Here is a 22,422-nt window from a genome sequence, read left to right as displayed (position 1 = left end):
TTTGTGATGTGGGAGTCACTGGGCCAACTGACTCGGCCTGAGGGATGCTGTGTGGTGAGCAGTCACCGATAATCATCAACATATTTAACTTCCTTGTTTAGTTTTTAACAGTGTTATTAAAACCATAAAGCATACTGCATCTTCAATAATTAATTCTGCTAATCTCGTTTGTGAAACAGACTCAGCATTAACGGAATAATCAAAACCAAAACCACAGCAGGCACTTACAGAGGGTGTGGGTGCAAATCAGCTCACACTCATGTACACGCACGTGTGCACGCACGCACGCATTCTGAGTGTGTTCTACTTCCTCACACCTCCCCCCTCCACACAGCTTAGACACAGATTGGATTTGTCACCAACTCGCTATTTCCAGGCAGAATCTAATTTGGCTCCACAGCTGTGCGCGCACACACTGCAAACGCGTTTGCTCACCACCTCCCTTCTCAGTGTGTGAACACTAAAAATACACACCACGTACCCTGCCTCTTCGCTTCCAACCCTGGGGACGCAAGCGATGGCCTGGAGCCCGGCCCAGCCCTCCTCACGGCTCAGCACGCAGGCCTGACTTCCGGTAATTAATCAGCACAACCTAATAAATAGCTAATATTCCTACTCGCGCAATCGCCACTCGTTGATTAAAATCCATGATGTTAAGGGTGTCCAGAACCCAAGAATGACCGAGCAGTCCAACTGGAGACCAAACGGGTCTTCATCAACAGAGCCAGAATGAGTCAATGCCGTCCAACAACAACCCCAAAGAGCCTGGGCCTGCAGCCCTATCCGCAGGGTGGAGGTGGGGAGAGTATGGAGGGATGAGGTGGGCAGGGCTACTCACCGGGGGTCCGTCAGCACCGGGCATTCCTGGAAGGCCTGGTTTCCCCAAGGGACCCTAGAACAAACCAGAGACTCCATGAGGAGATGCCCTCCCTAGGCTCACCTGACCTCTCCGTCGGCCACCAAGGTTACTTTTCAACATTTCTGCCCACACAGCATTTGCTGAGAAGTGTGGTCAGAGGCACTGGGTCCCTGGCTGTGAGGCGTGCAGCCACGGTAGCGCCCAGGAGGAGGCGGCTCCACTGTTCTCAGCACCTTCAGGTTCTGCTGTAGGAACGGAATCAGTCCACCAAGTGCCCCCATTCTTCTCCACATCCACCTGCTGCATACTGGGGCCCGGGGGGGCATCATCTGGCCTCCTCTGCTCTTACAGTGCTGTGCCTTCTTCAAGTGCTCCCACCACCCTGTCCTCCCTGGTCTGTTCACATCAACACCCCAGGGCAGGGCAGGGCATCCTGCAGTGCAAGGCCCACAGCCTCAGTATCCCATAAACAGCAGCTCCTGGAAGGTCCCAGGCCTGGCAGCAGCCCAGCCCTCTGTGTTTCTCAGGCCCCCCGGGGATTCTCATGCACTCAGAACCAGCCCCTTGGAGGTGTTTTTGCTGATCGCAACCAAGGCACTTGGAGCTACCTGAACTATCTTGTGCCTGGTTAAGCGACAAGCTCTAGAAGGGCAAGCACTTCCAGCTCTCGTTCCAGGGCCTAGGACACAGTAGGCTCTGGAGATACAGTCAAGTTGCCAAATTTAGCAAAACTAGACTAAACCAAAATAAACAACAACAAAACAAGATGCCCGGTTAAATTTGAATTTCAGATACACAATAGTTCAAATTTAACTGCATGTCCTGTATTTTTGTTCCTTGCTAAATCCAGCAACCCCTATACATACTAGAGAATGAATGAATGAATAAACGTATGAATCAATGAGACACGGATCCAAAATCCTCCTCATGCTTCTGGCCCAGTTCTTGGCACTCTGAGCTTTGGCGTCTCTTGGGAGCACCAAGATATACATTGAGAGCTGGTGGATACCAGGGGTCCTCCCAGGGTGGGGCCAGGGAATCCACCTGCAGGCGGGCAGTGGCCTGCAACACAGCCCAGGCCCACCTACCTTTTCTCCTGGAGGACCAATTGCACCCTGGGGGCCTGGAAGACCCTAAGAGGGAGAAAGAGCCAGAAAGGGAAGGTGAGGGCGCTGATTGACTCAGAACCCTCCCCTGCCATCTGTCCATCTTCTCATTGATGTCTCCCTCATCCAGGCACCAACCCAGGTCCTAGTCTCCCTCCAGATAAGGGGAGGGGCTGCTACTTGGAGGGGACAGAGCTCCCCGCTTCCTCCCAGGGCTCCGGACTGGAGACGTGTGCCTCCCACGGCCGGATCCCTGCGAGCTGCCTCTCTCAGGCTCACTTACCTGGGCGCCTGGATTACCCTGCTGTCCTGGGGGGCCAGGCTCTCCCTGGGGACCCTACAGGAGACAAGAGCAAAGGCACTGAAGGGGGCTCTGGGAACTGTATCCCCTTCCTGGGTGTCGTGTGCCCCCTCACTGGCCTCCCATCCTTTCAAACTGCTCCCCACTGCCTAATGCCAGCGGGAAGGGAAAGGCGGCCGGGTCCCACCACAGAGAGCAGCCCCAGGACTCAGCGCCTCTGAGGCTGTGGAGGTTGACTCTGATGGAGTGAGCACTAACTCGTTTATGCAAATATGCCCAGACATCCGACCAGGAAGGAACACGTGAGAGGAACTGACCAGAAATGATTTATTGGGCAGAAAACTCCCAAGTCACCCCATCATGCTAAAGTCTCCAGGTGCCACTCACCACTGGAGGGTGGGCACCACAGCAGAGGGTCTGCAACCTGCCCTTCATGTTCCCAGCTGATGTGGACAGCGATGGACCTCCCTAGCCAGGCAAGGAGTGTGCCCAGGGAAAGTGCCCCTGAAGCCAGGCCACGGGACCCCAGGGACTTACCACATTTCCTTTTGGCCCCGGCTGGCCGTCCATACCCGTGACACCCTGTGTACGATTTTAAGAAGAAAAACATGTAACTGAATGCGAAAGAACTCACAGTGCTCAAGAGGAAAATCCCACTCAACTCAGCTCAGACGCCCATCCCACGACGAATCAGAGGACGGGATGCTCTCTGGGGAAGGGAAGGACCTGACTCCAAATCCCTTCCCAGAGGTCCACTGATCAGCCCCAGTAACCCTCAGCTAAAGGTTAACTGAACTGCCAGGCCCTAGCATTCCACGGGGCAGGCCTCAGGTTCTAGAAAACCAGGTCACGGGGCTGGGAAGGCTGAAGGGGGCAGGCCTGGCCCTGGGGGAGCTGCCCACCGGGACACAGCCCCACTGGAATCAAGGGCTTCAGCCTCCTTCCAGAATGTTCACAGAAGCTGCTGGAAGTTCTTTCTAGCAGGGAAGAAACGTGACATCCTGGGTTTCTGCTTATAACTGAAATAGCACATGCTGTCTGCCAGGAGGAAGTGCAGCCAGGGTGAAGCGGAGGCGTGAGGCCGGCAGCCTCGGGCCTCCACCTGCAAGGCCACACCTGCTGGGGCCGTGTCTACAGCGTCTGAACATCAGTGTCCCGCTCACGCCTCACACTGGCAGCAGGCAGGCGCCAGAGGGGCCAGCACGGACTTGCTGCCCCAGTGCCCAAGCGTCCACCGGCTGGGAGGCGGGGTCTCAAAGGCCGAGATGGGGGCAGACAAGCAGGGCGGTAATGGGACTTACGGGAGGTCCGGGAGGACCTGGGGGCCCCTTCGGCCCAAGCAGACCACGTGGCCCCTGTAAGAGGAAAGGGAAAATAGGATTTAAACTCGGGCAGAAATCCCAGCCCTCCTCTCTGTCCCCTATGCCCACTTGGCCCTGACTCCACCCAGAACCCCAGCTGGTGACTCAGGCCTCCTGGCCTCCCAGGAGTGAGGCCCAGACTCCCTCCCAGCCTGCTGCGCTGCCTCCCTCCACCCCACCCTGGTGTTGGGAACCAGGGGCAGGTGTCTGGAATTGGTGAGAACTCAGAGAGGACACCACAGGGCACCCTCAGGGAAAGGGGGGCTTTCAAGCTGACCGGCTCCTCTGACACTTGCTGGGGCAGGTGAGCAGACGCTCCCCCAGAGAATCACCACGCTATAACATTCCACTGCACGGAGCCCTTGTGCCCTATCCTCATTACCGGCTCGCTCCTGAATTCCCCTCCGCAGCGACATACGATTGTTTTTATGATATCACAGGGTCAGAGGGTGCGGGCAGGAGAGCACCAGGTGAAACTAGTCCCTGGTGGGAACCCCAAGACTGAATGTGCAGAAGGAGGCGTGGGGTACAGATCTTTTCCAGGACGCTACTCTGGGCAAGAGCTGGCACGCCCTCTCCGGTCGGCGAGGCTCGTGCAGAACCTCCCCTTTACCGCAGGTGGAGTGAGATTCCGGGAGAACTGCCTGCCACAGGGCACTCACACCCCCCACCCACGGAGAATTACAGAGGCTTCACCCCAGGTACGTGGACTTCAAGTGCCCTTAATTTTGACAGAACCTTTTCAGATTCTGTAGAAGAGAACTCCTTCCCCCACTTACTGCCTCTTAAATGTTTCCTTCGTTATTTTAATACCTAGTTATAGCAACATTTCTTGGAAGCTAACAGCCCAGAAGGTATTACTTGGACATGTGTTAAGGAGAGAGTGGAGTTCATGAATTCTCCTTAGAGGCTAATCAGACATCTGGGGTATAATTTAGTCCCAAATGAGTCTGCAGGCACCGACCCCTGCCTCCTCTATGCAGTGCCTGCTATATTTCTCATCAATTAGCACCACCTGACGCACGCAGCCGGGCTGACTTGGCTACGAGAAAAGAGATGCTTTAAAGCAACAGTAAATGAATAGTAATTAATGTCCTATCCATCAGGAAATTTGCTCTGGGCCTAAATATATGTCTGCTTAGGGAAGAGCTTTCCCATGCCCAGGGCTGGGGCAGAGTCTGCTGGAGGAATCTGCCTCTGGAAGGGTGGCCATTGAAACGGGCCCAAGCTCGGGCTGATTCAGGTGTGTGACCCCCCCCACAATGCCCCTGGATGCCACTGTGCTGCCCCGGGACCCCTCACAATGCACTCAGATCCCCCACAATGCCCTTGAACCCCCCATGCCGCCCCCTGACCCCCTATAATGACCTCAGACCTCCCATGCTTCTCCCTTGACCCCCCACAATGCCCTCGGACCCCCTATGGTGCCACTGAACCCTGCCATGTTGCCCCTAGACCCCCTACAATGCTCTCAGACCCCCCACAATGCCCTTGTACCCACCCATGCTGACCCTGGACCCTCCCAATGATGCCCCTGTACCCCCCACCCCCATGCCCTCGGACACCCCACACTGACCCCGGACCCCACCACGATGCCCTCAGACCCTCCACAATGCCCATGGACCCCACATACTGCCCCCGACTCCCCACAATGCCCCCAGACCCCACCACGCTGCCCCTGGACCCCCACAACAACCCTTGAGGGCCAGGCTTGCTCCTGTAGGCAGGCTCAGACTTCCTCCTGGAGTTGCCAGCCAGCCTCGCCTGTGCCTCCTCTCTTTGGCTTCCCTGGGAGATGCCCAGGTCCGTCTGTTCTCAGGTCGAGCTCTCTCTCTTCTAAGCTCCTGGCTGATCCCAGATCCTGCTCCAGCAGGAGCCTTGGACAAAGCCTTTCTCCACACTGAGCCCCCACCGTCCCACTCAGCTCACAGACTTACGGGCTCCCCAGGCAGCCCCCTGGGCCCAACTTCTCCGTCGTCACCCTGCAGAGGAGAAAAAAGGCAAGGTTAGAGAAATGAGCTGTTAGCCTGGACACCAGCTTCCCCTCAGTGGTGCACAAGGGTTCTCTGGCTTGGGGCTGCTTCACATACGCCAGGTTTACCAGCTCTGGTACCAGCCGGAAAGGCCTGGAATGTCCTCGCTCCCAGCAAGCTGCTAGGTGTGCAGACACTGCAGGTGAAGCCTGCAGGCTCTGAGATGCCGGCTCAGGAGCTCACATGCCACAGCTCTCCAGAGGAAAGGCTGGGCAGAAAGAGCATCTAATTGAAAGGATTTGGTGACCTTCTTGAATGACAGCCTCTGGGGCAGGACAGGGCATCAGGGGAGAGTCACAAGATCCCCTGGGCCACCCTCTGGGGAACCAGGTGTCCCTGCCGGGGTCCTAAACAGCCTGGAAAGTACAGCAAGAGGCTTCCTCCTGGCTGCAGAAGGGAATGCCTCCCTGGCTCACTGCTTCAACCCACGGGCTGTTTGCAAACACTGTCCCTCGCCAAAGCACCACTGCACCTTCCCGCCCGCCTCACACATGCAAGCATGTATGCTCACACACAGCCTGCCTACACATGCCTACACACACATGGACACACAGACCCTGTGCATGCACATGCATACACAGCCATGCTCACATGCTTGTGCACACACATACACCCTGTGCATGCACATGCATACACAGCCATACACACATGCTTGTCCACATACACACGCACACAGCCATGCGTGCATGCATGCACACAGATACGTGCACTCCCTGCACATACACATGCACACAGCCACACATATGCACGCATACACACACACACACACACACGTCCTCTCAATCAAGAAGCACTGACATCTAGAAGGGTCCCTCTCTCCTTCCTCATCTTACAGCAGACTGTGCTGAGGCCCACACAGGAGCAGGTGCCCCGTCCATGTCAGCCTGAAAGCTGGTGAGACAGAAATGCCCCTGGAGCTGCTCCTCTTTCTCACCCTCCAGAGCTCCTTAAAGCTTTCCCCCTAAACACCTCTCACATACAAAGAAGGCGTCTGAGTGACTGCGGTGCCTGCAGGGAAGAGCTTGGAAACCCACAGCCTCGTGCATCCCATGCCCCAATCCCACTGTGCTGTGGCCCAGAGATCCCACTTCGCCTCCACACATGAAGACGGCGTGGCAGATACCAGACCCCGGCCTGTGCGTCCATGCTGGAGAACAGCTCCCTCCTGTGCTCTGGCCCCATGGCCACAGCCACTCGCTCCCCTACCTCCAGGCCCACAGAGGGTTATTTCCAATCCCCCCACCCTCTTCTGCTCCTCCAAATCTCAGCTTTCTGCCACCCACATGCCTCCAGCTAACTCCTCATCTGGACGAGATAAGCAGAGACGCTGAGCTCAGTAAACGCTCTGGCCACCTTTCCTCCCAGTGGGGTTTGGGGCACCTGCATCCTGCAGTGAGAGCTGAGAGCTGGCCCCGAGCTCCATCCATCAGCAGGACCGATGGAGTAACTAAACGTTGCAGTCAGGGTCTCTCCAATGCCCCGCAGCCTCTTGGCATCTGATCAATCGCTTTGCCCACTGGAATCCCCATCTGCCTTCTCCCAGCTGGCCCTCCACATGCGGCAGGCCAATCCCACACCTGGGCCTCTCTTCTGTGGTTTTCCTGCCCAAATCACTGAGGAGTAGGGCAGGCAGGAGCAGTCGGAGGGACGGCAGAATACCTACCCTTTCTCCATCGTCTCCCGGAGGTCCTGGTGGGCCGGAAGGACCAGGGTCACCCTAGGAAGTGAAAGGGTCAACGTCAGCCTCTCCTGAGCAGGTCATGCAGGGCTTGTCCAAGGTCCCACTTTGTTTTTCTCTAATTCTGACAGTAAGATTCCCAAGCTCTCAAAAGACCCTTCCAGAATGGGGGAATTTTCCTTAGAAGATCACGTGTGCCTCAGCCGGGCTAATGCAGGCTGCAGACTCTCACCTGAGTCTCACCACGATGGCCTGAAGGTAGGAGGGTGCTGGACTGAGCACCCAGCAGCGCAAGGCAGGGCCACACATGTGGGCAGCCTCAGGACACTGAGCCGAGGTCTGAGCTATCCTCAGCCCAAGTGCTCCAGGTGAAGCAGCCTCACGCTCATACCCTCAGGGAGCCCCGCCTGCCTGCAGCCTCAGAGCTCGCACGCAGTGGGTGCTCAATATGTGCTCATCAGTCGTGCAAAAGGGCTGGAGCTGAGTCAGGGACAGCCTTCATGGCTGTGCTGTTTCCATGTGGTTGTTGGAGAACATACATGTAGCAGCTTTGGATAAATGGCAACAGCCAAGCCCCTTCTCAAGGCATCATGGAGGGCTGCAGGGCATGCTTACGGGAGCAATCAACAGAGCAGTGGGGTGTGGGTGGATGTGTGGGTGCGCCTGTGTGTTTGTGTGAGTGCATGTGTGTATGCGAGTGCACGTGTGTGGGTGGAGTGTGTGGGGGTATGTGGGGTGTGTGCATGTGTATGCCTGTGTGCATGTGGGGGGATGGGGGGTGCATATGTGTGTATAGGTGTGTATGCGTGTGCGTGGCGTGTATGCATGTGGGGGTATGAGTGTGCATGTGTGGGTTGTGTGCATGTGTGGGGTGTGTGCACGTGTGCATGTGTGTGCATGTGGGTGTGAGTGTGGGCATGTGTGGAGCCTGTGCACGTGTGTATGCGTGTGTGGCTGGTGTGCACGTGTATGTGTGTATCGGGGTGGTATACATGTGTGTATGTGTGTGGCGGGTGTGTATGCATGTGTGTGCATGTGTGTACGTGTGTGTGTGCATGTGTGTATGCGTGTGTGGGTATGTATGCGTCTGTGTGCATGTGTGGGTGGTGTGCATGTGTGTATGCATGTGTGCATGTGTGTATGCATGTGGGGGTGTGTCAGGGTGTATGCGTGTGTGTGCATGTGTAGGTGGTGTTCGTGTATGTGTGGGGTGTGTGTGCATGTGTGGTGTGTGTGCATGTGTGTATGGGTGTGTGGGTGTGTGTGTGCATGTATGAGTGTGGGGGGTGTGCATGTGTGGTGTGTGTGTGTGCATGAGTGTATGAGTGTGGGGGTGTGTGGGTGTGTGTGTGTGCATGTGTGGTGTGTGTGCATGTGTCTGAGTGTGGGGGTGTGTGGGTGTGTATGTGCGTGTGTGTGTGGGTGTATGAGTGTGGGGGTGTGTGGGTGTGTATGCGTGTGTGCATGTGTGGTGTGTGTGCATGTGTGTATGAATGTGGGGGTGTGTGGGTGTGTATGCATGTGTGTGCATGTGTGGTGTGTGTGCATGTGTGTATGAGTGTGGGGGTGTGGGGGTGTGTATGCATGTGTGGTGTGTGTGTATGTGTGGGGGTGTGTGGGGGTGTGTGTGCATGTGTGGTGTGTGCATGTGTGTATGTGTGGGGGGTGTGGGGGTGTGTGCGTGTGTGCATGTGTGTATCAGTGTGGGGTGTGTGGGTGTGTATGCGTGTGTGTGCATGTGGTGTGTGCATGTGTGTATGAGTGTGGGGGTGTGGGGGTGTATGTGTGTGTGCATGTATGTGTGTGCATGTGTGGTGTCTGCACATGTGAGTGTGGGGGTGTGTGGGCGTGTATGAGTGTGGGGGTGTGTGGGCGTGTATGCGTGTGTGCATGTATGAGTGTGGGGGTGTGTGGGTGTGTATGTGCGTGTGTGCGTGGGTGTGTGTGCATGTGTGTATGAGTGTGGGGTGTGTGGGTGTGCATGTGTGTGCATGTGTGCATGAGTGTGGGGGTGTGGGGGTATGTATGCGTGTGTGTGCATGTATGAGTGTGGGGGTGCATGGGTGTGTGTGTGCCTGTGTGGTGTGTGTGCATGTGTGAGTGTGGGGGTGTGGGGGTGTGCGTGAGTGGGGGGGTGTGGGTGTGTATGCGTGTGTGCATGTGTGGTGTGTGTGCATGTGTGTATGAGTGTGGGGGTGCGTGGGTGTGTGTGCATGTGTGGTGTGTGTGTATGAGTGTGGGGGTGGGGGGGTGTGTGCATGTGTGCATATGTGTATGAGTGTGGGGGTGTGGGGGTGTGCATGCGTATGTGTGCATGTGTGTATGAATATGGGTGTATGTGTGCATATGTGTGTGGGGGTGTGGGGGTGTATGCATGTGTGGGGGTGTGTGGTGTGTGCATGTGTGTATGAGTGTGTGTGCGCATGTGTGGTGTATGTGGTGTGTGTATGTGTGTGTGCATGTGTGTATGAGTGTGGGTGTGTGTGGGTGTGTGTGCGTGCATGTATGAGTGTGTGGGTGTGGGTGTGTGCATGTGTGTATGAGTGTGGGTGTGTGTGGGTGTGTATGCGTATGTGTGCATGTGTGGTGTGTGTGCATCTGTGTATGAATGTGGGTGTGTGTGTGTGCTTGTGTGCATGTGTGTATGAGTGTGGGGGTGTGTGGGTGTGTATGCGTGTGTGTGCATGTGTGTATGAGTGTGTGCGCGCACACATGTGTGGTGTATGTGGTGTATGTGTGGGTGTGTGTGTGCATGGGGGGTGTGCACTCACATACTCATGTGCCTGTATGTCCTCAGTGTGCTAAAATATAAAGGAGCCATCAGAGAAATCTGCTTCACAGAAAGCAGGTCAGAGAAGGAACACCCCACAAGCTGTGAAGAGCCCTCATGTCAGGCCCCCAAATGGGCTGAGAAAGCAGGGCAGGCGGCCAGGACGAGCCTTCCCCACCACACCTCCTCAACAGGGCAGGAGATTGTAGGCTTTCTATCACGTTGTTATTGAAAGAAGACCACAGTCTATTGAGACAGATTCAAGATTCGAGGGGCTTGGCTGTTGCCGTTTATCCAAAGCTGCCGCATCTGTGTTCTCCAACAACCACATAGAAACGGCGCAGCCAGGAAGACCCCCAGGTCACCGCACTAGCTCGGGACTCACGGGACACACTTTCAAATTCATCCACGCCCATTAACAGGGAACAGGGGGACACCTGGCATGTTTTCGTGACCTGGTCTCCACATGGCCACTTGAGATTGTCCCCACCCCCTTGGGACCACCACTTTAATATTGCAAAGTGTCCTTGGCCGCCCCTGAAATGGCAGCTGCTTGGATTTCCTGAAATGTTAAAGGACTCCATTAAACAGATCTCTAAAAGGAAGGGCTCCTTCCCTGCCCCCTTCACGCGCCTCAGGTGGGTAGGCCCATCTGGCTCACTTGTCACAAACTGTAGATAAGAGCTCCAATTCCTTTGGGCTGGCCACCCATCAACAAAGACATCATCTTGGGGCTCACTGCCATTGCTGACTCCCGTGAGGTTTGTATACTGACTGTTGGAATGGCGGAGACCTGACCCCACAGGAAATCTGAGGCTGCCTGGAAGGAGAAGGGCCTCCCGAGAGACACCTCTGCTGCCCATCGTCATGCCTGTGTCTCACAGAGGAAATACTCACCCTGTGGCCCTTCTCGCCTGGCAACCCAGCCAGGCCGTCGAAACCCCGGTCACCCTGCAAAAAGGACAGAAAGGCTGCCTCAGACGCCACCCTGCACACGTGGACACCCCGCCTTGGTGTCCACCAAGTGATGGCCGCCCCGCCTTGGACCACGTTTCACACAGCATCTATGCACCCTGAACCCCATCGGCCAGCCCTCTCCCCATAGGCCCCCACTTTGCATCTACAATCTCAGCCTCTTCCCCTGCAAACATGAACATGGGCTGCAAAGGGGGAGATGACTTTCATCCCCAAGTCCCAGGCCCCGACGGGTCCTTAGTCATGCGGTATTTCAGCGACCGCTGCAGTTTCCCGTGTGTGTGAGTGTCTGCTGCTGATCTCCCCCACCCCAGGGAGGCTCCAGGAGAGCAGGGTCCCGGTGTGTCCGCTCACAGCTGTATCCATGGTGCCGAGGGGCTGCCCGCGCTCAGGAGGTACGCGTACCCATTGGTGGACGGGCCAGCACTGGCTACCCTCAGGCATCCTGGCTCTCTGGCCGGCCCCTCTTCTGCATGCCCTGGAGCCCGGGAACAGGGCCCTGTCTCATGGGTGTGCACACCATCTGGGGTGATGTCGATGATGGGACATTTTAGGCTTTCAGCCATGTTGTTGAAAGAAGACCATGGTCTTCTGAGACAGAGTCAACAAGACTGCGTTTCCTCCTGTCACCCCAGGCCACCTCACTAGCTTGGGACTGACGGGATGCACTTCAGAGCTCATCCACGCCCGTTAAGAGGGAACAGGTGTAGTTGAGCCCTGGCATTTTTTTGGTGCCCGGTCTCCAATCTCCAAATCACAGCTGCTGTCCCCAGGTGCACTCTTCACGGAAGGTCAGTATCTCCCCTGCCCCCCGTGGCCTGGGACAAATGCTTCCAAGAGGCGAGGAGGAGGGGTGAGCCAAGACCGGGGCAATGCTCACAGCAGTGCTGGGGCAGAGGGGTGGATACACTGAGCACAGCAGCGGGCAGGCATGAGTGGCGACAGCAACAGCTGGTGCATGCCTGGTGCAGCCTCATTCATGCCACACACACAGCCCTGCCTTTAGCCACGGGCAACATCTACTCACCTCCACAACACCCAGGAGTCCCGACTGGACAAGACCCCCTGGCCCCCGCACTTGCCATATGCCCCGCCTCTGCCCTACATGCGCCTCGTCACCTGCACGGCCACGGATGGTTTTCATAGTCGGGATCCCACCCCCATCCCTGCTCGCCACTGCTGGAAGGGAGCAAATTTCTCCCTTATGAAAATGAACTGCAACTGTCACGCTTGCTGGCGAAATTCACCCACCAACCCTATCTTCACGTCAAATGCCAGTGACGGAGCCACCTGTCATCATAATCGTAGTCATCACATAACCAGCATTTTGGTTACATCATCAACATGACCCCAGGGATGACAGTGATGCCAGGGCACCAGGAGGGTGGTGGGTGACCTACCTTGGGGCCAGTTTGTCCAGGCATTCCTCTGGCTCCATCACTCCCAGCCCGACCCTGGAACAAAGGAGGCAAAACCGTCAATGCAAAAGAGCCCCGGTTCACTGAGACCCCCGGGCCATGGTTTTCCGTTAAACCAAGTTGAGCGTTCCACCAGAGCCGCGCCCACCCCCAAGGTCACAGCCCGAGTGGCCGGGCTGCTGCGAGGACCCAGATCCAGGAGCCCGGGCGGGGCTGTTCTGTGCCTCACACCAACGGATGGAACACACGGGGCTGGTCTTTCCGGACCACGTCATCCCAGACTGTCAAAGGGGGATCACGCCACTGCCCCTGGGCTTCGAGAAGACGCCACAATGTGGCAGAGGAGACCCGGCTGGAGGAGCTGCGTCAGTCTAGGGGACCGTGAATTTAGGACTCAGGCGAGTGCAGGCCACTGACATCACAGACAGCACAGCTCCTTTCCACCATTTGGAGGTCAGAGGAAAGAGAGAAAGGACACATCTGGTTTGTCCACTTGGCTAAGGAAGAGGCCCAGGCCCCAAGTGAGGCCCAGTCTCACTCAGACCACACAGCGACGGGAGGCAGCATCTGCACGGTGAGCAGATGCCCTGTTCCTGATGGCCAGCTATGGACACAGTCAAGGACAAGGTGCCCAACTGACTGGCCATGGGGCTGAAGAGGGGACCTAGACCTTCCGGGGCCCACTGTGCAGGCCCCACCTTCACCACAGGAGAGCCCTGCAAGGGAACAGGGTCTCTATGAAACTCAGCCAGACCTCCACGCCAATGAGGCACCCCAGCCAGCGAGAACAGAGGGCTGCCACCCTGCACAACGAGGCACCCCAGCCAGCGAGTATAGAGGGCTGCCACCCTGCACTTCCATTTTCCAGGGGCTCCTCCTCATATGAGGCCCTTGCCCCCAACCCACCACCAAGCAGAGAGAAGATCTGGAGGGTGGCAGCTTAGGGTCTCAAAGCACTGGAGACAGACAAGGTGGCACCCGAGAACAGCCGAGAAGCAAAAAGAGAGAAATCCAAACACACCCCAAGGAGACAGTCGGTGCTCCCGTTGCTCCCCAAAAAGACATCGCCCTGTTGGGCAAATGGAGGGGCCCATTGGGAGCCTCTTCTAGATTTCCAAACACTTTTAGAAACCAAGGGAAGATTGTCGGAAAACTTCACAGGATTTCACAGCACAACTCAGCCCCGCAAAGCACCCAGATGCTTCTACAATTCACAAGCGAGCGTTCCTTGCAGGAAATGCTAGCAAAGAATGGAAGAGGCTGCTCAGACCACTTTGGAATCGACCCCTCAGCTCCAAGCCCCTCTCTCACCACCATCTTTTCTTCTGCAGCAGATCTTCTGGGCATACTTAATGCCTTAAAACACACGCATATGCATGGCCCCGACACCATGCAACTCTGCAGCTGGCCATGTTAGACAGCATTTCCCGAGTCTCCTCTTGTTCCAGTTTTTAACCTCACTCTAGGAAACCAGTTCTAGTGAAACTGGGTGGGAAGGATTTACGGAGACACACAAAAACACCTTAAGGAAATAAAACATTTTTCAGAATCAGATCCAAATAAATGGCCCAATTGTCTACCAAGAGTCGATTCCAGAGCTGCTAATCCTCCTGGAATTATCCAGCCCAGGCCTCTGTTTCATGCCCAGATCCCTGCATAGACCCTCGGACCTGCCAAACTGCGGCTTATCGGGTCATTTCTACCCACTAACCACAGCTTGCTCCCCAAGTCAGGAGCATCCAGAACCACTAGGGAAGGACCCATTTTTGCCTTGTTGACTCAGACTATAGCAGTCAAGGGTAGCTTAGGTAGACAACATACTGGGAAGAGGTCCACACTGAAACAAATCCAACCCTGCACCGAAATTTCTCTCGTTCACCAGAAAGGTCTGCTGGTTGAAAAGGTCCACTTTTGAGAGCACAATCTGGGCTCCCAGGGCCTGCCCCAGCCTGTCTGGGTGGTGGTCAGCACTCGGGAAACGTGTGTCCTCTTTTAGAAGCCAGGGTCATGTGCAAACAAACCAGTTCCATCCAGGAGAACCATGCACCAGACAGAAAATTCCAGGAGGCAAGACAGCAGGTAAGGCGCAGGAAGGCCCGCCCATGCCCCCGAATCAGGCCATTTCTGGAGTCCCAGTGCTGCCCGAAATATATAAGGCCCGCTGATAGTTTTGTCTTCTTAACATTTGCTCCCAAAGGGCCTGGGAAGTTTCTTGAATTAGAAAGGTTTATTAAACTAAATGAATGTGCCCAGGGAAGAGGCCTGGTCCGCTGTGTCTGCGCCCAGGACACAGAGCGCCCCTCCCAGGCAGCTGGCTCAGAGGCAGCCTTGGGGATGGACGCACCCATCACAAGAAGGGGAGCCACCTGGCTTCATGTGGCCCAGCTGGCTGTTGGGGGTGCCCGCACCCCAGATTTGGGCTCCTCCAGCGCCCAAGCTGCTGTCACTAAACCACACACACTCGCACCACTCACCCGTCTTCCGGGCTTCCCGGCCGGACCAGGCGGGCCTTGCACACCTCGAGGACCCTGCCAGGGGTAAGAGACAAAGGGTCAGTGGCGAGTCCGCCTTTCTCAGGAGAAAGAGCAAAGCCTTGTCCCTGTGCTCATCGACCCTGCCCATGCCTGGCTGTCCAAGCCACAAACATGTGGGCACTTCGGGGACGGGACACGGATCTGCTGCCCAGAATGAAGGCCAGGGACAGAATACAGCCAGCTCATTTCTGCCGCAGGTGTCAGAGTTCATTGTGCTCCACCCTCAGCACTGCGTAAAGCAAGGACAATTCCCACGAATTTCCTTGAAAACATGCAGCAGTTGGGGTCCCTCCATGCTCGCCGTCGCTGCCGCCGGAGAACGGGAGGCGCCCACCAGACAGCGAAGGCAAGGATCCCACATACCTGAGGCCCCACGTCTCCCGGCTCGCCCTTCAAACCTCCGCTCCCAGGGGGACCCTAGGGAGACATGGTGTGTGTTAATGTCTGCTCGAGGTGGGGACTCGAGAACACAGGAAGGGCTGGGGGTGGCAGGGGAGGGGCAGGGGGAGGGGACAGGGCTTCGGCCACGGTGCTCAGCACACAAAGCGCGACCTGTCTGCCTCGAACAGAACCGGGGGGAAGAACGATGACTTTCCAGGAGCCGGGAAATGCAGTTGTTTGGATCTCTTCCTAATCAGGAATACAATTCTAGTTGTTGGGGCTCGCAAACACCACAAAGCTCCTGGAGATGTTTCTCTCTCCGGGGTGAACCTGACCGTGGTCCGTTACAGCCCAAAGCTTCGAGCAGCGTATGCACCTGCTACAGGCCCCTCAAGGCCAGATCCCCCAGATGTGGGAGGCCAGCCCTGAGTCAGGCCCTGTGTGGAGGCGACCGAGCCCAGACCCAGTGGCAGGTGGCAAAGCCAGGAGGGCCCCTGTGGTGTTGAACTCCTCTGTGTGCCTGCAAACCCACACTCCTCCCCAGAGGCCCCGGAACCCAGCCCCTGTGCCTGACACTGGCAGCCCAAGTCTCCCTGGGCACACACTGTATGTTTCTCATGCATCGAGGACCCCAGATGAGAGCTAAGTTGAGGCCACAGGGCAGGGGCGGGTGAGGCTGGAAATCCTGCGTTCTGCCCCACACTTAGTTATCTTCAACTCTGGAACAGGGCTGTAAAGATCAATGGAGGCCCCTGCTCCACAAGGCAGTCACAGCCTGTGCGAGGGACTTCCCCAGGCCCCTGGCTGCAGCAGGACCCCATCCCTCTAAGGAGCCACTCCTCTGGTGACAGCTCATAGCGTGTTCTCTGCAGGGGGAGCCTGGAACTCCAATGCAGGGGTGAGGAGGGGCCTCCTCCTCTGATTCCTGCCAGCTCCTTTCCATTCAGGATGGAGTTGGAGGCTGTTTCCCAGGATCGCTGATGTCAGCTCTACCCCGCTGAACTCCCTCAAGTGACTTCGAGGCACAGTCACCCATCCCCACCCCCCACCAACAAGGGGGCTGGAGCAGCACCGAGAGAGGCCCCTGGTCCCCCTGGCCACCCTCCTGGGAACAGGCACTGGACCAAGGGCCGCTCTGTGTCCACAGGACCCCAGGGCCACCTGCCACTGTCCGCCAACGACACAGGGAGTGGGCCAATCCCCACACCACGCCCAGCTCTCAGATTTGCCAATGACTTACCACAGGGCCAGGTCTCCCTGTGAGACCCATCGGGCCAGCTGGTCCCCTCAGTGCCAACTGCAAAGGAAAGTGAGACACGCTGAGACAGGGCCCCAGCAGCAGTGCTCCGGTTTGCTGGCGCCTGAGCCGTGAGATGTGGCAGGAGGGAACGGGCAGACTGGACAGAGGAGGGACAGGAGACTCTGGAAAAGGAGGTCTGATGACTCCCCAAGGGCCCCCCCCCCCCGACTTCGATGGGGCTCTCAGCATCCACGGGAGTGACGTGGGACATGCAGAGGTGCAAGCCAGTGGGCCCCCGTTTCCTCCCTTGGGGGATAGGCCCCATCCCTCCTTCCTGTCTCTCTAGCCCACACAGAGAGGGCCTGCTCCCAGCCCATCACCCTTGGCTAGGTCAGAAATAAGCCTCTTACTCTGGGCATAGGGAGTACATTTTACACCTGAGCTCAAGCTGAGTCATGACATATTTTATTTCACATGGGAGGCGCTTCAAGCACTCCCAGCCACTGGGGAAGTATTTTGGGAGGGTAGGAACCCACCTGCCCCCTCTGCATGTGGCCCCCACCTGCACCAGTGCAGGGCCCACCGCTTTCCCACAGAGCCGCTTCTGCAGCTGCCAAGTGACTCTGTTTCCCTGGCAGATGCCATCTGAATTTTAGAATATTTTGTTTTGCATTATAAAATCTTATAGCCTATCATCCATTTAGCTTCAATTAAAATACACAAGATAAAAGGCCAGCCAGGCAGGCCCAAGCCCATAAACCCAGTGGCAGGTAGTGGGGTTTGCTACACACCACCTTCCATCATTCAGGCAATTTGCTCCATGGTAACGACTCTGTGCTTACACTGTCCTGTAATTACCTAAGCACTCTGATCATTAACATCTACTCTGGCTGCTGTGGGAGCTGCATAAATATTTCTCAAACAAGGGATTACTTAGCAGCTTTCTTGCACTCCGCTGGAGGATTACCCACCCACCCACCCGCCCCACGGGGCAGTGTTTACACCTATCGTGGGCAATCAGCAATCCGGAGCCAAGTCTACAGAAAACACAGGCCACTAATGAGCTACTTCACAATAGGGAGGCAAGTGCTCCTCTGCGGACCCTGCTCCTTAGGACCCCCCAGGCTGAGAGTGAGGGGCTCTGGGGCCCAAGGGCTCTCTCCCAGAGGAGCCCAGCTCCAGCCCAGGCAGCCCCTTCCAGGAGCCACGTGGGTTTCCGGCTCCACTTCTGGATCCCAGCAGAGGGCCTAGCACAGAGGCAAAGGTCACCAACGGTGGAAGGTGGGCCTACTGGGTCAGAGGTGGAGGGGCCCAGAAGCCCCTTGTAAAGTTAGAACCCGGACCCTCAGCATGGACAAAGAACTGCTGAGAAACTCCCCAAACAGTCCCCATGATCTCGGGGTCCCTACTGGACAGTGACACGCTCTCGGGGTCCCTACTGGACAGTGACACGCTCTCGGGGTCCCTACTGGACAGTGACACGCTCTCGGGGTCCCTACTGGACAGTGACACGCTCTCGGGGCCCCTACTGGACACTGACATGCTCTCAGAGCCCCTACTGGACACTGACATGCTCTCGGGGTCCCTACTGGACACTGAGGACTGGACGCTCCCACAGCTCCTGACCCCAGCAAGCAGGCATTCTGGGATCAAGACAGCTGCTTCCCTCCAAGTTGGGCTCTGAGCCTGACTCACTCACTCCTGTTGGCCCCTGGGGCTGGGCTCTGTCCCCTTCAGGCCTCTTGGGACCCAGCAGTACTCACCCTGGCCTGCTGGAGAATGGCTTGCGCCTGGGACTCCTGGGCTGAGACCATGGGGCCTTTGGAGCCCGCATCGCCGCCACCTCCAAACCGGAACTGCAAGTGTAAGACAAGGGTCACTCTGGGAGCAGTGACGTGGCACCCAGGCAAGACCACAGACTGAGACGGGGCCCACAGGCCTCTCCAGTGACAGCGCAGCCTCAGAGGGTCTGGTTTGGATCCCACCTGCCCCAGCTGCCTCCCCACCTCCGACTGATAAGGGTACTCACGGGCAGCATGAGCATGGTTCCTGGAGGACCGGGCAGGCCATCGGCCCCAGGAAGGCCTGGGCGTCCAGGGGGGCCCTGAAGACAAGGGGCCAAGAGAGACAAGTCAGAGTGCAACCAGGCCAGGGCTGGGCTGCAGCGAGAATGAGGGCGTCGGAGAAGCGGCCCACCCGGGAAATGCACTGGACACGCACAGAAGCTGTGAGACCCCGTGGCAGGAATGTTTCAGAAACCCCCACCCGGAGAAGGGAGGGGCACGGCTGTGGGCTGAGGATCGGAAAGGCTTTGGAGGGAGGGATAAGAAGGGAGGGAGGTCTGAGCTGGATATAGAGAAATCCAGAGACCCAGCAGGCGTCCTCTGGGGCCTCAAGGCAGAGACAAGGAGCCCGAAGGTGAGGAGGCAGTGTCAGGCTCTTGTCGCTCCAGGAACGCCCCTTTTAGGTCTCCATACCCAACAGGAAACAAAGACTCCAGGCTCAAGGCCCAGTGCCTCCTGTGCCCAGTGGGCACTTGTCCTTAATGGGCTCCGAGCGAGCCGCCTGTGCCTGCTCAGATGGAAGACGGGATGGAGCAGCCACTTGCGTGGATGGACACGCAACACAGCAGAGCACACACTCAGCCACAGCAACTTCAAGAACCCACTTATATGTAAACGACACAGTGCCCTCCTCACGCCCAGCCAACCTGGCCACACAGACATACCTAGGACTGGATTCTCTAGACCAATTCCAGCCAGCTTCAGACCACTATACGCATGTAAAACCAGTAAGATGATTTATTTTCAAAATAATATTTGATCACAAAGCTATTTCACAAAAGCAAGCAGATTCTCAGCTGGCCTAAAGTAGATGAGGCTTGTCTTGCATAGAGACTGGAGCTTAACCCCCTCTCCCCAGTGAGAAAAGCCTCCACCAACTACACTCCAGTTACACTCCAGTGTAGCGGATGGGTGCTGGCTGCAGTCTTCCGAATCAGCAACAGCTACACTGAGCATGTGTGTTCACACCACCTGAGTGAGACGCTCCCTGCCAGGAAACCCATGATGGATTCCCAACTCCCAGACAGAAAGACCAAGAACCTGAGTGGTTTTTCTGGAACTATCCAGAAGGCTGTGGAGCCATCTGGGCCTGAACCTAAACTTGCCTGCCTTGTCTTTACTGGTTGCTTTTTGTTGCAGAAGTAACTCCATTTCTTGTGAAATGGCTTAAGGTACACATTTATACAGTGAAAGTGAAAGGTCCCTTTTCATCTCCGGATGTAACCAGTGCTCAAGTTCTGTAAGTGCAAAGGCAAAGATGAAGACGCACATGCTGGACACACTAACTAACACATTCATCACTATGAGGCTGTGTGGCTTCGGAGTTTTGTTTTTTTTGTTTTGTTTTGAGACAGAGTCTCACTCTGTTGCCCAGGCTGGAGTGCAGTGGCATGATCTCAGCTCACTGCAACCTCCGCCTCCCCGGTTCAAGCAATTCTCTGCCTCAGCCTCCCGAGTAGCTGGGATTACAGGTGTCCACACCAGCGTGGGCTAACTTTTGTATATTTAGTAGAGACGGGGTTTCACCACCTTGGCCAGGCTGGTCTTGAACTCCTGACCTCGTGATCCACCCGCCTCGGGCTCCGAAAATGCTGGGATTACAGGCATAAGCCACCGCGCCCAGTCTCTTTCTTTTTAATGATACTGTCCCTAAATATTCTGCAATTTGCTCTTGAAATCATGGCCTGTCTCTGTAGATATCCTTGGCAACATCTGTTGCATCTCCCAGGCACAATGGACTCCTTGTTTATTTAACCCGTCTTCTGCCGATGCACGTTGGATTGGTTCCAGTTTGCATTATGACAAACACTGCCCGACAGACGTGCTAACATATTCTACTAGGTAAGTCCCTCAAAGCAGTGCTGCTGGGTCAAAGAATGTATATATGTGTATATTTCTGAATTGCTAATGGATACTGCCCAATTGCTCCCAACTGCCATTTTGGAAAACACTCTCAGAAGACAAAAATCGTGTTTAAAAAATAAAGATCCAAAACATGTTTGCCGCCCAGGTTTTGTCATTGACATACAATCCTCATAGCCACTTACAGCTGAGATTCCTGTGTCGGAATCAATTCCAAACCAAACCTTGCATTTAAGATTTGGGGTCAGTGTCTCCCAAGGACAAGCTGCTGTCTGTGCAGTGCATGTGTGTAAGTGTGTGTGCATGTATGTGTGGATGTAAGTGTATGTGTGTGCATGTGTGAATGTAAGTGTATGTATGTGCATGTGTGTGAATGTGTGAATGCATGTGTGTGCATGTATGTGACTATCAATGCATGTGTGTGTGCATGTGCATATATGTGTAAAGGCATGTGTGTGCATGTGTAAATGCATGTGTGCATGTGTGTGGGTGTGCATATGAATGCATGGGGTGTGTGCATGTGTGTGAATGTATGCATGAATGCATGTGTGTGCACGTGTGGAATGTGTGAATGCATGTGTATGCATGTGTGGATGCATGTCTGTGTATGCATGTGTGGATGCATGTCTGTGCATGCATGTTTGTGGGTGTGTGCATGTGTGAATGCATGTGTGCATGTGTCTGCATGTGTATGAATGCATGTGTGTGAATGCATGTGTATGTGTGTGTGAATGCATGTGTGTGTGAATGCATGTGTGCATGTGTCTGCATGTGTATGAATGCATGTGTGTATGAATGCATGTGTGCATGTGTCTGCATGTGTGTATGAATGCATGTGTGCATGTGTCTGCATGTGTGTATGAATGCATGTGTGCATGTGTCTGCATGTGTATGAACGCATGTGTGCATGTGTCTGCATGTGTGTATGAATGCATGTGTGCATGTGTCTGCATGTATGAATGCATGTGTGCATGTGTTTGCATGTGTGCATGTGTCTGCATGTGTGTATGAATGCATGTGTGCATGTGTTTGCATGTGTGTATGAATACATGTGTGCATGTGTCTGCATGTGTATGAATGCATGTGTGCATGTATCTGCATGTGTGTGAATGTGCGTGTGAATGCATGTGTGTATGAATGCATGTGTGTGAATACATGTATGCATGCATATGCAGGTGTGTGTGGATGTGTGAACGTCCATATGAATGTGTACGTGTGTGCATGTGTGTGAATGCATGTGTGTATGCATGTGTACGTTTGTGTGGGAATGCATGTGTGTGCATGTGTGTCTGTGCATGCATGCTCCTGCTCACATGGTGTTGCTGTAGGAAGCCAGGAAGTCTCCTCAAGGCCACTCCTTGTCCACTGCTGTCCATTTCCAAAGACCCTCTTTTCAGCATCCTTCCTGCCTGTTCTAAGCCACGGTGGTGAAAATCCAATCCCCAGGCTGTGAAAGCAACTTCCCTCTGATGCCGCTTCTCACCGACACCCGGAACAATTCCAAAGAATGGGAACGTAGATGAACAAGGATAACGTGAAGTCCTAGAAGAAGGAGACAGTGTGGAGAAGAAAGGAAAGAATGTCGCCACCCCCATGAACCCTTCCGAAGTGTTCAAATTTGACACAAGTCCTCAGGGCCACCAACATGAACCTGCATTTGCTATCACTTAGAAACATTGTCAGCAAGCCTTTGCCAAGCCCTGTGGTCTCTAACGTAAAGACTTTGACCCCTGGGCTGAAAGACACGGCTACACCTCAAAGTCACATTTCCAATTTTCATGACACAAAGCACGGGCCAGCGATGTGGCTGTTGTCTGCGACAAGGCAGGTGTCAGACACC

General features: G+C 55.5%; 1 protein-coding gene across 3 annotated transcripts in view, besides 4 other annotated features; it reads right to left on the bottom strand.

The window, feature by feature from the left end:
- Positions 1–22,422, bottom strand: part of COL5A1 (collagen type V alpha 1 chain) — a 203,041-nt gene that overhangs the window by 75,542 nt on the left and 105,077 nt on the right. For all 3 annotated transcript variants that reach the window (NM_000093.5, XM_017014266.3, NM_001278074.1), the window contains exons 12-25: positions 18,686–18,760; positions 18,420–18,512; positions 16,657–16,713; positions 15,399–15,452; positions 14,976–15,029; positions 12,484–12,537; positions 11,006–11,059; positions 7,324–7,377; positions 5,565–5,609; positions 3,568–3,621; positions 2,804–2,848; positions 2,249–2,302; positions 1,948–1,992; positions 839–892 (exon numbers count right to left, since the gene is read on the bottom strand). In NM_000093.5, the coding sequence (NP_000084.3) occupies positions 839–892; positions 1,948–1,992; positions 2,249–2,302; positions 2,804–2,848; positions 3,568–3,621; positions 5,565–5,609; positions 7,324–7,377; positions 11,006–11,059; positions 12,484–12,537; positions 14,976–15,029; positions 15,399–15,452; positions 16,657–16,713; positions 18,420–18,512; positions 18,686–18,760 (792 nt within the window). The remainder of the gene's footprint in view (positions 1–838; positions 893–1,947; positions 1,993–2,248; positions 2,303–2,803; positions 2,849–3,567; positions 3,622–5,564; positions 5,610–7,323; positions 7,378–11,005; positions 11,060–12,483; positions 12,538–14,975; positions 15,030–15,398; positions 15,453–16,656; positions 16,714–18,419; positions 18,513–18,685; positions 18,761–22,422) is intronic.
- Positions 2,486–2,745: an enhancer, noted in NCBI's record as "active region_29286". NCBI's record gives its function as "activates an Ori minimal core promoter by ATAC-STARR-seq in GM12878 lymphoblastoid cells {active_cell/tissue: GM12878}" and the evidence as "EXISTENCE:reporter gene assay evidence [ECO:0000049][PMID:35858748]".
- Positions 16,404–16,610: a silencer, noted in NCBI's record as "fragment chr9:137644538-137644744 (GRCh37/hg19 assembly coordinates)". NCBI's record gives its function as "represses an EF-1alpha promoter that drives an FKBP-Casp9 reporter gene in an ReSE screen in HepG2 liver carcinoma cells {active_cell/tissue: HepG2}" and the evidence as "EXISTENCE:reporter gene assay evidence [ECO:0000049][PMID:32094911]".
- Positions 17,453–17,965: an enhancer, noted in NCBI's record as "H3K27ac-H3K4me1 hESC enhancer chr9:137643183-137643695 (GRCh37/hg19 assembly coordinates)". NCBI's record gives its function as "activates a minimal SCP1, AML or CMV promoter by ChIP-STARR-seq in primed H9 embryonic stem cells {active_cell/tissue: H9 hESC(primed)}" and the evidence as "EXISTENCE:reporter gene assay evidence [ECO:0000049][PMID:30033119]".
- Positions 17,966–18,478: an enhancer, noted in NCBI's record as "H3K27ac-H3K4me1 hESC enhancer chr9:137642670-137643182 (GRCh37/hg19 assembly coordinates)". NCBI's record gives its function as "activates a minimal SCP1, AML or CMV promoter by ChIP-STARR-seq in naive and primed H9 embryonic stem cells {active_cell/tissue: H9 hESC(naive and primed)}" and the evidence as "EXISTENCE:reporter gene assay evidence [ECO:0000049][PMID:30033119]".

Source organism: Homo sapiens, chromosome 9 (genome assembly GCF_000001405.40).
Source record: "Homo sapiens chromosome 9, GRCh38.p14 Primary Assembly".
In the NCBI taxonomy this organism is placed as follows: domain Eukaryota; kingdom Metazoa; phylum Chordata; class Mammalia; order Primates; family Hominidae; genus Homo; species Homo sapiens.
This window is presented reverse-complemented; position numbering and strand designations above follow the sequence as displayed.